Raw genomic sequence first — 17,987 nt, 5'->3', positions numbered from 1 at the left:
ATATGACAGGCCATAAAAGGAGCTCAATAAATTTAAGAAAATTCAAATTATATCAAACACTCTCTCAGACCACAGTGGAATAAGACTAGAAGTCAACTCCAAAAGGAACCTTCAAAACCATGCAAATACATTGAAATTAAATAACCTGCTCCTGAATGAACATTGGGTCAAAAATGAAATCAAGATGGAAATTAAAAAATTCCTTGATCTGAATGACAATAATGACAAAACCTATCAAAACCTCTGGGATACAGCTAAGGCGGTGTTAAGAGGAATGTTCATAGCCATAAACACCTACATCAAAGAGTCTGAAAGAGCACAAACAGACAACCTAAGATCACACCTCAAGGAACTACAGAAACAAGAACAAACCACATCCAAACCCAGTAGAAAAAAGGAAGTAATCAAGATCAGAGCAAAACTAAATGAAATAGAAACAAGCAAACAAAAATATATAAAAGATAACTGAAACAAAAAGCTGTCTCTTTGAAAAGATACATAATATTGATAGACCATTAGCAAGATTAACAAAGAAAAGAAGAGAGACAATCCAAATAACCTCACTAAGAAATGAAACAGGAGATACTACAACTGACACCACTGAAATACAAAAGATCATTCAAGGCTACTAGGAACACCTTTATGCACGTAAGCTAGAAAACCTAGAAGAGATGGATAAATTCCTGGGAAAATACAATCCCTTAGCTTAAGTCAGGAAGCATTAGATATCCTGAACAGACCAATAATAAGCAGCCAGATTGAAATGGTAATTAAAAAATCACCAACAATAAAAAGTCCATGACCAGACAGATTCATAGCAGAATTCTACCAAACATTCAAAGAATTGGTACCAATCCTTTTGAAACGATTCCACAAGATAAAGAAGGAACTCTTCCCAGTTAATTCTATGAACTTGTGTCACCCTAATACCAAAACCAGGAAAGGACACAAACAAAAAAGAAAAATACAGACTGATATCCTTGATGAACATAGATGCTAACAGATGTTAAAATAGATGCTAAAATAGAAATAAATGCTAAAATCCTTAACAAAATACCAGCTAACAGAATCCAACAACATATCAAAAAGATAATCCACCATGATCAAGGGGGTTTCATACCAAGGATGCAGGGATGGTTTAACATACACAGGTCAATAAATGTGATACACCACATAAACAGAATTAAAAACAAAAATCACATGATCATCTCAGTAGGTGCAGAGAAAGCATTCAACAAAATCCAGCCTCCCTTTATGATTAAAACCCTCAACAAAATCGGCATACACGGGACATATCTTAATATAATAAAAGCCATCTATGACAAACCCACAGCCAACATAATATTGAATGGGGAAAAGTTGAAAACATCCCCCGTGAGATCTGGAACAAGACAAGGATGCTCACTCTCACTACTCCTCTTCAAAATAGTACTGGAAATCCTAGCCAGAACAATCAGGCAAGAGAAAGAAATAAAGGGAATCCAAATGGTAAAGAGGAAGTCAAACTCTCTCTGTTTGCTGATGATATGATTGTTTGCCTTGAAAACCCTAAGGACTCCTCCAGAAAGCTCCTAGAACTGATAAAATAATTCACCAAAGTTTCCGGATACAAGATTAATGTACACATATCAGTAGCTCTTCTATACACCAACAGCTACCAAGTGGAGAATCAAATAAAAAACCCCTTTTACAATAACTGCCTAAAAAAATTACTCGTGAATATATCTAACAAAGGAGTCGAAAGACCTCTACAAGGAAAACTACAAAACACTGCTGAAAGAAATCATAGACGACATCAACAAATGGAAACACATCCCATGCTCACGGATGTGTAGAATCAATATTGGGAAAATGACCATACCGCCAAAATCATTCTACAAATTCAATGCAATCCCCATCAAAATACCACCATCATTCTTCACAGTTAGAAAAAAGAGTTCTAAAATTCGTATGGAACCAAAAAAAAGCCTGCATAGCCAAACAAGACTAAGCAAAAAGAACAAACCTGAAGGCATCACACTACCTGATTTCAAACTATACTATAAGGCCACAGTCACCAAAACAGTGTGGTACCGGTATAAAAATAGGCACATAGACCAATGGAATGGAATAGAGAACCCAGAAGTAAACCCAAATACTTACAACCAACTGATCTTTGACGAAGCAAACAAAAACATAAAGTGGGGAAAGGACACCCTTTGCAACAAATAGTGCTGGGATAATTGGCTATGTGGCCACATGTAGGAGAATGAAACTGGATCCTCATTTCTCAACTTACACAAAAATCAACTTGAGATGGATTAAGAACTTAAACCTAAGACCTGAAACTATAAAAATTCTAGAAGATAACATTAGAAAAACCCTTCTAGACATTGGCTTAGGCACGGGTTTCATGACCAAGAACCCAAAAGCAAATACAATAAAAACAAAGATAAATAGCTGGGACCTAATTAAAGTAAAGAGCCTTTGCACTACAAAAGGAACAATCAGCAGAATAAACAGACAACCCGCAGAGTGGGAGAAAATCTTCACAATCTATACCTCTGACAAAGGACTAATATCCAGAAACCACAACAAAGTCAAACAAATCTGCAAGAGAAAACCAAACAAGCCTATCAAAAAGTGGGCTAAGGACATGAACAGACAATTCTCAAAAGAAGATATACAAATGGCCCAGAAACATATGAAAACATGCTCAACATCACTAATGATCAGGGAAATGCAAATCAAAACCACAACGTGATATCACCTTACTCCTGCAAGAATGGCCATAATCAAAAAATCAAAAAACAGTAGGTGTTGGCGTGGATGCAGTGATCAAGGAACACTTCTACACTGCTGGTGGGAATGTAAACTAGTATAGCCATTATGGAAAACAGTGTGGAAATTCCTTATGAATAAATTTAAGTTCGTAAATAAAACTTAAGAAGTAAAAGTAGAACTACCATTTGATCCAGCAATCCCACTACTGGGTCTCTACCCAGAGGAAAATAAGTCATTATTCAAAAAAGATACTTGCACACACATGTTTATGGCCGCACAATTCACAGTTGCAAAATTGTGGAACCAACCCAAACGCCCATCAGTCAATGAGTGGATAAAGAAACTGTGGTATATATATATACAATGGAATACTACTCAGCCATAAAAAGGAATGAATTAACAGCATTTGCAGTGACCTGGGTGAGATTAGAGACTATTATTCCAAGTAAAGTAACTCAAGAATGGAAAACCAAACATTGTATGTTCTCACTGATATGTGGGAGCTAAGCTATGAAGATGCAAAGACATAAGAATGATACAATGGACTTTGGGGACTTGAGGGGAACAGTGGGAGACAGGCGAGGGATAAAATATGGTGCAGTGTTTACTGCTTGGGTAATGGGTGCACCAAAATCTCACAAATCACACTAAAGAACTTACTCATGTAACCAAATATCCACTGTACCCCAATAACTTATGGGAAAATAAAATAAGATAATAAAAAATAAAGTGTACCAGAGGTCATCTGCTTCTGGTTTTTAAAAAAATTGAGCTCAAAATACATATCTATAGATGTACCCTGAATTGGAAACATTAATTTACAACTATTCCATAGCACGACTTGAGTTTCTTAAGATAGACTTAACTCACTGAAATGAGGCCTCGATGTAAGCTGTTCTTCAGATGTCTGGAAACAACCACAGCAATGATGATTTGTGTCTAGCCAATTTGCTATTAGGGTTCCTGTTTCCCAACATCCATAGATTCCAGGGTCCAGGGCCCAGGTCCAACGTATGGAGGACTTCTGGCAGTCAGTCACCTTACTTTTTCCTGTTCTGGGTGTTGAATTCCCATGCAAACAGAGCAGGCAACCATCTGCAGTGTGAACCTGATCACTTGCTTTTCTTTTTCTCTTCCCACTCTGCTGTATACATGCTGTACATTTTCAGGATGCTGATTTCCCAGTCAGCCAGAGGACGACCTAGATCCATATGTGCTCATCTTTCCCCCATTCCAGAGACAATCTTCCTCTCCAAATTAGAAAATGAGCTGTGCATGCTACTCTCTGCCACTAGCTCTGAAGTTCAGAGGCCCACATCCCCTAACTAGAATTCTATCAAAGGGAAACAGAACTGCCCATCCACTAGCATCTGGTTGACATCCTTCCTTTACCTAGCCATGGCTATCTACTAATTCGTACCTCAAGGAAGAACATCTGGAATACAAAAAAAAATCTTTTCAAATCATTTTATTGTTTTCCTTCTTATTAGAGAAATTCATTAGAAACCCAATATATTTTTCTGATTACAATACAATTACTCTCTCACTGTACAACTACAATAGTATAGCAATAGAGTGTTGTGTATTAAATAGGCTTAGGTTTGGGGAAACCTAACAACCTTTAATAATTTTATTTTTATAGGAAGCTATATTTTGGTTTTCAAATAGCCAAATGTATGCAAGCTTTTGAAACATAATTACAGATATTATGATTTAAACTTTCTAACACACATGTATATATACACATACTTATGGACAAAGTTTGAATGGAAACATGGAAAAAGGAAAACTGTCAATGTGCAAAGTGGTGAAAAAATGTTCCCTTAATAATGTTATTATATTAATTTATGCAATTAAAAATTACCTTAGCAAGAGATAACTGTGAAAAAATTGTCATCTCCTTCATCTCCTCCCTAAAGGTCGCCCTTCTCCATAATCAGGATATGCTTTTCTATGTTCTCATAACATCTTATATACAAATCTTAATATAATAGTTACTTTGGAGCATAATGTATAGTTATTTGCTTATGTGTCTATTTTTCCAATTAACTGTAATTTATTTACGGACGGGGATTATCTCTTGTTAGTGTCTGTACACTATACTAGTTCAATTACACAGCGGCATGCGGTAGGTATTTAGCAAATTGTTGAATGAATGAAAAATGAATGAGTAGGTATATTTCTTCATGTGGTATAGTGGAAGTAACACATTCATATACTCAGCCGGTTAGGATACAAATACATGAATATCATCTACAAAACTTGAAAACTTTGATCAAAGCAGAAAATAACGTTTTTTGAAGTAGAAATGTGCAAATAATTTCTAAGTACATCTGGAGGAAGTGTGAACAAGAGATTTGGGGTTTTGTTCCTTTGGTATATTCCCTGACTTTAGGCCTCAGATGTTTTCACTTCCTCAAGTTTTTGTTTTTGTTCTTTTTTTCTTTTTCAGCTTTTCCTGATAAAACTATTTCCTTTCTCCAAGGTTTTAAAGGTTTTGACCTGAACATGTATTACCCGAACCATGAGGACTCTGATGGAAGAGTTATCAATGATGACGACTTGGGTGGAAATGGTCTAGAGATTCAGGCAGATATGGCTGCATCACCATCCTATAAGGGAAGAGATAAGACTCCTAGAGGGAAAAAATGTAGGGTAATAGGGTTTGGGACTGAAGAAAGGACCACTGAAAATGTCCATGGTAAAAAGATCTTAATTAAGCAAATGAAATATTATGAACAGAGCAACGTGAATCAGTTAGTTCAGTATTTCCTAAACCTGCTTGATAACAAGGATCACCAGGAGGTGATTACTTGTTAACAATACAGATTTCCACTCTTCTTTCAGATCAGAATTGTCAGCACAGAGGCCTGGAAATCAGTACATTTAACACATAGTTTCTGGTGATTCGTATAAGCAAGCAAGTTTAGAAAATTTAAATTCATTCATTTTAATTTCTTGATGTCCAATTTAGAAGGTAAAGTCCGCAAATCCTCACACCCATATACCTACATCTACATCTGTGCCTATAGAGCCTGCCTTCCTTCCTTCCTTCCTTCCTTCCTTCCTTCCTTCCTTCCTTCCTTCCTTCCCTCCCTCCTGCCTCCCTTCCTTCCCTCCCTCCCTCCCTCCCTCCCTCTCTTCCGGCATATTCACTAAATGTGAATGTCTGTGATGCGAATAAGATTGCTCATCATTGTGGAGGGAGTTAAAGGAACTACAAAATGCAATCCCAAACTCTACAGGCTACTACTTGATGCAGTTTACAAATTTGCAGACTTTTATTGCTGATTTGAGTGTTTTACCTAACTGCATAATCAGGTATGGTGTATGTGTGTGTGTGTGTGTGTGTGTGTGTGTGTTGTTTTGTTTGCTTGCTTTTTAAACCCTGCTGTAGTTTGGATATGGTTTGTTTGTCCCTATCAAATCTCATGTCGAAATTTGATTCCCAAAGTGGTAGTGTTGAGATGTGGGGCCTGGTGGGAGGAGCTTATGTCATGGGGTAGACCCATTGTGAATGGCTTGGTTCTTGTATTAGTCTCTTCTTATGCTGCTAATAAAGATATACCCAAGGCCGGGTGCAGTGGCTCATGCCTGTAATCCCAACAGTTTGGAATGCCAAGGCGGGCGGATCACCTGAGGTCGGGAGTTTGAGACCAGCTTGACCAACATGGAGAAACCCAATCTCTACTAAAAATACAAAAAATTAGCCAAGTATGGTGGCACATGCCTGTAATCCTAGCTACTCTGGAGGCCAAGGCAGGAGAATTGCTTGAACCTGGGAGGTGGGGGTTGAGGTGAACAGAGATCGTGCCATTGCACTCCAGCCTGGACAACAAGAGTGAGACTCCATCTCAAAAAAAAAAAAAAAAAAAAAAAAAAAAAAAAAAAAAAAGACATACCTGAGACTGGGTAATTTCTAAAGGGAAGAAGTTTAATTGGCTCACAGTTCCACATGGCTGGAGAGGCCTCAGAATCCCGGCAGAAGGTAAATGAGGAACAAAGTCAGGTCTTACATGGTGGCAGGCAAGAGGGCATGTGCAGAGGAACTTCTCTTTATAAAACTATCAGATCTCATGAGACTTATTCACTATCACGAGAACAGCACGGGGAAGACCCACCCCCATGATTCAGTTGCCCCCCACCGGTCCCTTCTATGACGTGAGAATTATGGGAGCTACAATGCAAGATGAAATTTGGATAGGGACACAGTCAAACCATATCAGTTCTGTTTTCAAGGAATTGAGTGAACTCTTGCTCTCCTGAGACTGGATTGGTTCTGCGGGGAATGGATTAGTTCCTGAGGGCAGGGTTGTTATAAAGCCAGGACACCCCTTGGGTTTTGACCCTCTTTGCACGTGTCTACTTGCCCTTTAGTCTTTTCCACCATATTTTGATGCAGCACACAAGCCCTCACCAGAAGCTAAGCAGATGCCGGCACCTTGCTTCTTGTACAGCCTGCAGAACATGAGCTAAATAAATCTCTTTTAAAAAATAAATTACCCAGTCTTAGATATGCCTTTATAGTAACACAAAACATACTAAGTCAAATAGCAATTGAATAATGTTGGATAATCAAGCTGAATCATTAAATCTCTTTAAAAAGTCCCCAATTCTTTTCCACTTGGGAATTTTGAATCTGGAAAGTTTGAGTATTTTATATATGATCATGCCTTTTCTAAAAAAACTGTTTCTGCAAACTCCAACACTATTTTCACTCTGTGCATTCAGTGTGCTAAGGGAGCATCTTGGAAATCTTTTGCTTGAATTAGCTATAACTTTAGCCTCTGCCGATATTCTGACCAGCAGCCTTTTCATTTTTCAGCCCTTTTTTGATCCAATCAGTCTCTTACTTTTTGAAATTTAAGTTTCTGGGTTGCAAATAAGTAATTTGTATTTTCCAGGATGTTCACATTGTACTTGTAGCATCATTAATAAATGAATACATGCCTCTCCTTGCAATAGATTAAGAGAAAATAAATACAACACTACAAATGGAAGCCTGTAGTAAGGAAGTCTATTGAACTTGAATTGTGTGAGGTCTTCATGTGCCCCTGGATCCTCCCTCATTTATTTATTCTGAGGACAGAGCTAAGCACTAGCAGGTAGTAATACTTAACAACTCTGATTAGTATTCAAAGGTTTGTGAATTTAGTATGAACTCCTCCACTGAATAGTAAGCTTCTTCAAGGGAAAGACCTGGCCTTACTCACTCCCCAATACTTGTCAACAGAGGGTGGCCCATAGTAGGTACACATAAATGTTTGTTGGACTTCAATTTGATTAAGAGATTCCTAGGAATAATTGTTTTCTCTGGGTATGAGCCAAAAATTGAGGTAATTGGTCCTTAGGTGAGTTATAATTTATTCTCTCTTTCCGCCCTTCCAATACATTGGTGAAAAGCAATAATAACAAGTCTTTGGTTAGCAAGTTTTTCATAGAATTAATCCAGTTTACCTCTTGTAAAACTTTTGTCTCTCTCCATGCATCTTTTCCTAATATAGTAAATAATGCATTTCAGAGAGCGTTTTCTTGACTTGGTTTTACTATTAGTTAATTCTTTTAAAATGTCCCATTTTCACTATCAGAAGTTGCTCATTTCTTGTTGGGAGCTGTGGTTTATTGAGGAGGGGGAGTTCCTTTACAGCTAGTAATACTTTGGAATCCCCAGGGATGGTCCATGACAAAAGAGATTAGAATTCTGAAGCAACACCCTTCAAACCACAAGTAGTCCGTCTATCATCTGAGTCACAGTCATCAACCAGGTCAGACTGAACATAAAAACGGGGGAGAAAAGGAAGAAATCCTCCTAAAAGCACATTGTACCTGGTAAAAAATTATTGTCATGCTTTAGAATTTTGAGAATCAACCCACTGAAACATTTTATACTTAAAATTCCAAAGAGATTGCCATATCAAGTCCCTACCATAAACTTTCCTGCATTATATTAAGTATTTTTGGGTTTATTTATTTTGTTGAACACCTATTCTTTAAGTTGGTTTATAACTTCCTTGGTGGGTATTTTTTTTTCTGAAGAAATGTTTCTAACATCTCAAGATTCATATTACTTAAGGTACTTTTTATAGGTATCTACATTCTAATGAAATACAAAGAATAGAATTTATCTGAAAAAAACATAAGCCATCAAATCGTTTTGTCAGAGCTGATCTATATGGGTGATAGGTCTGAATATGCTTATAGATCACAGCTATGCACCTTAATCATTGAAGGGGTCCTGGAAGGGGAATTTATGTTATCACAGAGAGCAATAAAAGCCAGGGGACAATCAAATGAAAATCCTTTTCCTTTCATAAATAACTTAATAATTAGCATTTATGAGAATAACTGAGTAATTCTGGCTATTAACCAAACCTTTTTTTATCGTGTTTTATGGCCCAGGCTTGGCTGACAAGTTGCCTAACCATGAGTGTATATATATATTTTTTTTTTCTGCTGTCACTACCACCTGTTTTAGACTTTGCTTTCATTTTTTTTTTTTTTTGGTGTTATCTTTTGCTCTCACAGGCAAAAAAATGCTTAATTTGTAGGAAATACAATTTCTTGCAAATAAAAAATAAAATTCAGGTTCATGAGCCCTGAATTTATATGCCAACTTTAGAGCTTTTTAGCAGTGGGATTTGGGCTACTTACTTAACAGACTCCCTCCCTCTGCTCCCCCTCCTCACAAAGTCATCCTTACATCTAAAATGCAGGTAATTAGACTGACCACCTAGAGTTGTAATGGGCAGATGTGAAAACATAATGCTAAGTTTCCAGCATCATGGTAAATGAACAAATGGTAATGTCCTCCAGTAGAAAGTCAATATGGCCTACAAGAAAGGGCAGGGGGAAGGGGCTCCCAAGACCCACATTGAAGTCCTGGCTCTAGCACTTACTAGCTGCCCAGGTTGGGAATTCTCCTAAACCTTCTCTGCATCTCAGTTTCTTCATTTGTAAAATGGGCAGAATATTCCTTAATCTACCTCTCTAAGTGGCTTAAAGGAAATAACTTTGTGAAACTGCCTTATAAAAATGATGAGATATTAAAATATTAATAATATGATGACAAAGTTTTTGGAGTTAATTTTTTCCCTCTGGGGAACAGTATTTTTTCAATGATAGTTCAATGGTTCCCTTTTGCTGAAGGTAGTGGCATTTCTCTTTTTTTTTTTTTTTCTGAATGACTCAGTTGGCACTTGTTATGAGCTATCTTGTAGGTTTTCTTTTCTTTTTTTTTTTTTTGGCACCTCAACTCTGTTTTAATCTTTTCAAGAGTAAAGACTCAATTTTAAACCTTGTGGGCTGCATGCTGAGATCTCTTAGGTGGGGCTGAAGGGGAAATCCTCCCTGGGGCACCATACTTAGTGTGAGAAGGGCCAGGGTTGTGGAGTGGAGCAGAGATGGCCTTCAGAGAGAAGAGGAAAGAAAAACAGGAACTTTGATGACATGGAGAAATTCTGAGATGCAGGGGAATATTGAGGGGCTTCCATGGACTTGCCTTGATCTTAGTAAGAAAGAAGGCCAATAAGATGAGGGAAAGAGAGTGGAAGGGAGTTGGGATCTTAGGGGCTGTATATCAAAGTGTCATGTTAACAGGATAACTAGCATATAGCTGACACTAAAAAAGTTTCGTAACTTTGAGATGAGTAGAAAATATTATTTTGTTATTTCATTATTCATGTCATATAATATTAGCATAGATAATAACATATATAATAATAGTAACAGCATGTATTAGGTACTTATGTCATATGTTTTGAACTTTACGCCTATCCTTTGATTTAATACTGAGAACAGCCTTACTAAGTAGATGCTATGATTATCTTTATTTTAAAGATGTGAAAACTGAAACTTTGGAAGGAAGTTCTGAAACACTATTGTGGGGCATAGAGTATCAAGTTTAGTAAGGAAAAGAAAAATGATTATAAGAGAGAATCGAGGGTCCAACTGAAGATGGATGGCATGAGTTTAAGACAAAACTCTCAGCACAATTCCATGTTTACCTCAGCCATGTTCTGCAACTTGGAGCAGTTGGTTGAGCTGACTGAGACTTCGAATACAATGGTTAGGAAAACAGTAACCTCTTTGCGTTCCACGTTGGACTTAATGACTATGAGTCATGTCATATATAGGAGGCAAGTTTTTCAGTGGAGATAGGAACAACTGAAATATGTTCTTCAGCCTAGTGGAGACAAGTAATTGTCATTGGCTGGTGAGTGTTTCAGATACTTCAAAGCATGGGTTGTGCTTCACCCCACCCTCTCTAGCTAAACTCCTTGGCTAATGGCCTGCATGATCTTAACTTCATTCCGGAAATACTGGTTAAGAGGATTTGGGACAGGCCATTTGGAGGCTGGTGAACCTGACAACTTACACAACCTACATTTGCAAAGCCCAGTTATTTTCTGACTAATGGGTCAGAAAGAGGGGGCAGAAGAGGAGAGAGAAATCTTCACCAAACAAACAGCCAGGCCATCTGGGTGGAGTTGCTTAAGGCAGTCACAAAAAAATGATCACATCATTTACCTCTCATTTAACAAGGGCAGAGCAGGGATACTAGCTGTGAGACACTTCTGCTCCGGGAAAGGTAGGAGCATTTGTACAATCTTTCCAGTATAGGGGAAGGGGGACATGGGAGTAGAAGTTGGATTGTTGAGTCACGAAGCAAATAGGTGTCTTTTTATTCTAATTAACTTGAGAAAGAAAGAATTTGGTATTATATCAACCCAGCACTTAAACTTTTTACCTTCATTGTATAAAAACTGTTTGTGAAAATTGTGCCACTATGACTTACTTTTTGATACGGATAATGGAGCATTCTCTAAAGGGAGCAGATGGAATGATGAGGAGGTTCAGAGTAGTGTCAATCATCAGGAAAGAGGGTGGCCCTGTTGGCCTGGGGGTGAGGGGAGAGGCTCTGACAAAGGTGCTCAGTCCCCAGCCAGGCTGCATGTGGTTCTTGTCTACCTGGGTCCACCTGAAAAGACACTACCAGATTGATTTGGGGTGTATCCTGGGCAGTGAGACTTTTGAAAGTGCATTGGTTGATTCTAATGCACAATCCAGTTGAGAACCACTGTTGAGGGAGCAGGGTGCCTGAATCATGAAATAAAAAGAGGCTTTTTATGGGAAAGGCTCTCTATCTCTCTTCTTTAACACCAGGAAAGGAGCTGTATTAGTGATAGGAAGTGATGGGGAAGCCAATGGGGGCTCAAAAGAAAGAAAGCTTTGATGCTTGGTACTGAAATGGAAGTGGCGTGGTAAGTGGAGGAGCCCCTGATGCTGGAAATGATCAAGGAGAAGGTGGACAACCATTGACTGGGAAGGCTGAACTAGCCCAGTGATGGCTAGATAGTGTCAGGAGGACCAGAAGCAACCTCAAGTCCCTTCCCCTTCACTCAGGGCAGCTCAGTTTTCTCTCTTTTTCTGTATTGGTTTGGGTTTCCCCATAAAGATTTCCTTTGAAGAAAGAGTCTGCTCAAAAAAACTTTTAAAACCACATAACTAGTTGACCTTTATGGCTATTACCAATCTGAAGTTCTGTAGCATTAAATCTTCTTTGATGTTTTCTAAGAAACCAGGCTACTGATTGATCCATTCTTCCAAAGGCCAAGGGGGAAAGGAAGGAGAGCTTACAAGGGTGGAAAGCATGAGTAGAAGAGGGGAGACTTCTCTTAGCTGAGGGCCAGGGCAGGAGCCCTTAACCCTGTCTAGGCTTGGAACCACCTGGGAACTTTTCAGTAAGACACCCTCCCAAAGCAGTGATATCAGTCTCTGGGGATGGTGCCTGGGCGTGGGTATTCATGAAATGCAGCAGAGTTGAGAACCACTGGCTTAATAGATGGGCACTGAGGAGAACTCTTTTTATACATTGAGGCCAAACATGTTAGACAACCACGAACACGGCAGTTCTTAAACTTCAGCTGCATCAGAATCACCTAGGCTTGTTCAGACAGATCACTGGGCTCCACCCCCAGAGTTTCTGATTTAGTAGGCCTGTGATAAAGCCAAGAATTTGCATTTTTAACAAGTTCCAGGTGATGCTGACACTGCTGATCTGGGGGACCACACTTTGAGAACCACTGCTTTAACAATAGGAATTTACTTTTGACCTTAAAAACAACTCCCTAACATTGGCAAGCGATTGATAGTGTGCACCCTTGATGATATGATATAATGAGAATGGCACTTTGCCTCTGTGGTCTCCCTCCCATTAAATGCATTAACTCAGTCTAATCATGAGTAAAACATCAGACAAAACCCAATGGAAGGACATTCTACAACATACCTGACCAGTAATCCTCAAAACTATCAAGGTCAGCAAAGCCAAGGAAAGTCTAAGAAACTGCCACAGCTAAGAGGAGCCTAAGGAGACATGACTACTAAATACAATGTGGTATCCTGCATGGAATCCTGGAATAGAAAAAGCACATTAGGGGCAGGGCACGGTGACTCACACCTGTAATCCCAGCACTTTAGGAGGCTGAGGCAAGCAGATCACTTGAGGTAAGGAGTTTGAAACCAGCCTGGCCAAGATGGTGAAACCCCATCTCTGCTAAAAATACGAAAATTAGCTGGGTGTATTGGCGGGCGCCTGTGATCCCAGCTACTTGGGAGGCTGAGGCAGAAGAATCACTTAAACCCAGGAGGTGGAGGCTGCAGTGAGCCGAGATCGTGCCACTGCACTCCAGCCTGGGCAACAGAGTGAGACTCCATCTCAAAAAAGAAAAAGGAAAAAAGACATTAGGGAAAAGCTGAGGAAATAATGTATCAATACTGATTCATTGGTCATGACAAAGGTACCATATTAATGTAATATGTTAACAATAGGGGAAACTCAGTATTAGGTAGGGAGCGCTCTGTACCATTACTGCACTAATTACATTACTGCACTAATTACATTAATTCTGTAATTTTAAAACCATTCTAAGATAAGCAGTTTATTTGAAAAAAAAAAAAAAAAAAAAAAAAAAAAAAGAACTTCCTGACTGCTGAAATACAGACCGTTCCTGATTGTGGTTATGGAGGAGGTGTCTTCAAAAGCATCAAGGAAAAAATATCAAATAATTGTATTTGTTTGACTGAAGACTTATCTGGATACAGGAGGTGAGTTACATAACATACCTTTATCTCTTTTTCTATGTGCTTGTGTGACTCAGATGATTGTGTGACTTTGAAATAATTTTTAAGGGCTATACTTTATATATACATATAGCATATAGATATTATACATAATACAAATATAATATACATATGTATATCAGCATACTTACAGCTGGTATGAAAGATAAGGTAGCTAGCTGATGCCTCTCAGTTTATTAGGATGCAGCCATGCAGTGGGAATACAATTTTAATTAGAAAAGGTACCTGCTGTAATGACTTAATATTCTTGGTAGAAATTTTCAACCTTTTGATTAGGCCTATCTGGAAACCATCACAATGGTGGTCTTTCTTTCTCTCTCTTCTTTTGTTTTGCAGTTCCAAGAGAACCTGCTTCAGGTGGTCTAAATGAAATAGAGTCCAAGTCCCATGCTTACGTAATATTTAGCTGCTGGTTTATAGTTATGGATGACCTTATTTCATTGGCTTCAAGAGTGCATTTCATAAAATTCCTCACTTATTGATTCAGGTTTTTTTGTTTTGTTTTGTTTTGTTTTGTTTTGTTTTTGAGACGAAGTCTTGCTCTGTCGCCCAGGCTGGGGTGCAGTGGCACAATCTCGGCTCACTGCAAGCTCCGCCTCCCGGGTTCACGCCATTCTCCTGCCTCAGCCTCCCGAGTAGCTGGGACTACAGGCACCTGCCACCATGCGGGGCTAATTTTTTGTATTTTTAGTAGAGACCGGGTTTCACCATGTTAGCCAGGATGGTCTCAATCTCCTGTCCTTGTGATCCGCCCGCCTTGGGCTCCCAAAGTGCTGGGATTACAGGCATGAGCCACCGTGCCTGGCCTGATTCAAGTTTGAATATATCCGTGGAGCACTGTGTGCTCACGGCAGATGAGGGTAGAGGTGAGAAGACCCAACAACTCTTTGGATATCCACGTGTTAACCAGCCAGGCATTTACATTGTTTCCCTAACTTGGCTTCAGTTCCCCTCAGCCTTTTGAGTGTTGGTCGCTGATCGTGGTTATGGAGGAGGTGTCTTCAAAAGCATCAAGGAAAAAATATCAAATATTTTGATATTTGATATCAAATATCAAAATTTGCCATGGTGCCCAGCATGGTTCAAGATCATAAGTGTCAAGCACATCAGGTAAGGAAGATAATAATAATTCAAGGGCAAATGAATTGCCCCATGGACAGTGAATTACAGTATGCTACAATGGATTTGTTTGGACCATTTATCTTTTCTTTTGAATTGACTTAACTGTACATTTGTAGGAGATAAGCAGGAAATCAGAAGCACTCCTAGGGATTGGCACTGGTCTAAATGACAGCCCTAAGGAGGAGCTTAGATACCAGATTCATCCTCCATCCAGGCAGAAGCTCCCCAGGGATAAAACTGCAAGGTTAAATGTGAAACTCAAAATTTGAAGCAAAAGCCTCTCCTCTTCTGCACTTCTTTTCTTCCTAAGTTGAGCAGTAATACTAGAAACAGAGTCAATTGAACCTGAATAGCTCCTCTGGGGTACCAGGCATCATTCTAAGGAACTCGTTTCATCCTCACAGAGGCACAGATGGGGTATGTAACTTGCCAAAGCTCACACTGCTTGGAGTAGAGTCAGGATTCTAATCTGGCTTGTCTGGCTCCAGAGCCCACGTTCTAAACCATTAGGCTCATTCTGCCTCTCTTGGAGAAGACACAAGAAGTCCCAGTCTTGGCTAGCCTGGCTAGTTCCAGAGACCTCCATAGCTAAACAAGGTGTAGAAATAGAATGTCCCGTCACTTAGCTATACTTCTATCCTTCCCACCTTCTACACAACTACCATTACCATTGCCACCAGCAACTGGTAAATATTGATGGAGCTTCTTTTCTTTGCCAGGCACCATAGATACAAAAACTAAAAAAAAAAAAAAAGAGACTGTAATCTTGACCTCAGGAACTACAGAGGAGATAGACATCCAAGCAAATATGCCAACAAAATCCCAAGTGGGGTCTAGTAAGGGCCAAAAAAAAAAAAAAAAAAAAAAAAAAAAAAGAGCTGGTGTAGCCAGATGGGCAGGGACTCACCTTGCTTCAGGGACAAATTTGCAGTGGTGATGAATTCCTTTCATTCTTAGCTTTCCTCCTATTACTTCCCTGATTTATTTTACTTACAAATGACACGTCTAAATGGCAGAGACCTGAAGTTCTCTTGATGGGGTGCTGAGATGTTCAGAAGGGAGGTATCCTGTTTAACCAACAGATCATTTATAGATAAAGAGAGGCTCTAACTTAGCATACAGTTCATCTATTTCCTTCCCCCAAGAAAGAAGGGATATTTACATCTCCTCTATTCCTTCTTCCAGGGCAAGAATCTTCTGTTCCATATGCAACATCTTCTGGCAGCCTTGTCCTTTTTCTGTCCTTGACGACTACAATAACAAACAGCTGTTGCCGAGGCATTGCTGTTGACGTGTTACCTTTGAAACCTCCCTCCTGTTATGGAATAAGCCTCTTCCAGATCATGGCTCATTATCATCTAGTCTGACAAGCAGCCTTGTTGCCACGGAGACCCAAAGGGATCAGGCGTGGCATTTGCCTGCATCATCACCCCCTCCAGGGGAACTATAAGGACTCTTCTGTGCGTCATGCGTGGCTGTCCTGGGACTGGCTGCCACCAGACTTTTCCTGCGGGTAAAACCTAAACAAATGATCAGCTGCAGATAATATCAAGACCTCTGTTTGATATGTTAATAGTGACAGCCAGATTTCCACAATTAACAACGAGGTGGGAAGAAAACACTGTAGTCACCAGACTTGGGAGGAGAGGGTTTGTATTCACATAAACACAACCTCACGTCACTGCTTGCCACCACAAAGGGCTCTGTTCACTGTTTTGTTCTCAAAGATCATCCTTGCGCTCATCCTCTGATCTTGAATTTCTACATAACTTTCTCAGTTTATATGCCCTGTGGCAAGTGCAGCAAGCACTGTTTCCTGTTTCTAAACTTGTAGAAAATCATCCATACATCTTACAGTTGTCAGTTTTAACCAGATAACAGTGGCACTTTGTTGCTGCTTTTTTATCTTTAGCTTAGGTTAACAGGACCCTGGAAGTAAAGTTGTTGATTTATTCAATAGAGTATTCTCAATTAATTTGGCTAGATTTCTACATGATTCAAAATCTAAAAAAGTAGAAATGCATGCTTACATGTCTAAGGCCTGAAAAATTGGTAGTGACATCCCAAAATAAATGAAGGTTTTAAAACAATAAATGATCTCTTTTTTTTTTTTTGCTTCTGTGCTTGGGGAGAAGCAATGAAGGAAACAACAATGTTGCTTTAAGGAGTGAGGACCCCAAAAATAAGAATATATAATTATGACAGATAGGGCATAGGGCGTTGTTCAGAATTGATGGGGCTGGTGCACACACAAACATTTTAATAGTTCTAATACTTTGTGTACACTCTTGCGATGAAGTGATGACTTCATTAATTGATTGAATAATATTTATGCAATGCTACTATGTGCTAGCTATAGAACTAAGCTTAGTCTCTTAAGATCTTAACATTCTGAAACTATTAAAATGTATAATCACCATTTGTAAAAGTAAATATACTAATCTAATAATTTGGAATGTACATTACAGTAAAAAAAAAGCAGGGGAACATCCTGTAAAATGTCACTCAGAGATAACCACCACTTACAGAGTGAAGTATATTCCTGCTTTTTGCGGATAGTGTGTGCGTATATATGTTTAAGCAAAGCTAACAATATACTATTTTTATAATTGGCATTTACTTTTTCTTTTGCTTAACTTTATATCATAACCTCTTTCCCACATCATTACAAACTCTTCATAAATAATCTTACAAATGGTTATGTAATATTTATCTTATTTGTAACACATACTATCTTCTTTTTTTCATCAACACACTGCATGGATAACAGATTTATTTTTTAAGTCAAAAATCTTTCTTGGCTACACTAACCAATGTTTTTGGTTTTTGTTTTGTTTTGTTTTGTTTTGAGACAGAGTCTCACTCTGTCTCCCAGGCTGGAGTGCAGTGGTGTGACCTCGGCTCACTGCAACCTCCGCCTCCTGGGTTGAAGCGATTCTTCTGCCTCAGCCTCGCAAGTA

At 38.9% G+C, this 17,987-nt stretch overlaps 1 long non-coding RNA gene across 1 annotated transcript in view, besides 2 other annotated features; it reads left to right on the top strand.

Annotated features, from left to right (window-relative positions):
- WAKMAR2 (wound and keratinocyte migration associated lncRNA 2) overlaps positions 1-17,121 on the top strand; it is a 44,565-nt gene extending 27,444 nt beyond the window's left edge. Inside the window, exon 4 of the long non-coding RNA NR_049793.1 lies at positions 16,213-17,121. This is a non-coding gene — a long non-coding RNA (wound and keratinocyte migration associated lncRNA 2). The remainder of the gene's footprint in view (positions 1-16,212) is intronic.
- Positions 12,589-12,638: an enhancer, noted in NCBI's record as "active region_25151". NCBI's record gives its function as "activates an Ori minimal core promoter by ATAC-STARR-seq in GM12878 lymphoblastoid cells {active_cell/tissue: GM12878}" and the evidence as "EXISTENCE:reporter gene assay evidence [ECO:0000049][PMID:35858748]".
- Positions 12,659-12,788: an enhancer, noted in NCBI's record as "active region_25150". NCBI's record gives its function as "activates an Ori minimal core promoter by ATAC-STARR-seq in GM12878 lymphoblastoid cells {active_cell/tissue: GM12878}" and the evidence as "EXISTENCE:reporter gene assay evidence [ECO:0000049][PMID:35858748]".
- Positions 17,122-17,987: the final 866 nt, after the last annotated feature.

This window comes from Homo sapiens, chromosome 6, assembly GCF_000001405.40.
Source record: "Homo sapiens chromosome 6, GRCh38.p14 Primary Assembly".
Taxonomy (NCBI): domain Eukaryota; kingdom Metazoa; phylum Chordata; class Mammalia; order Primates; family Hominidae; genus Homo; species Homo sapiens.
This window is presented reverse-complemented; position numbering and strand designations above follow the sequence as displayed.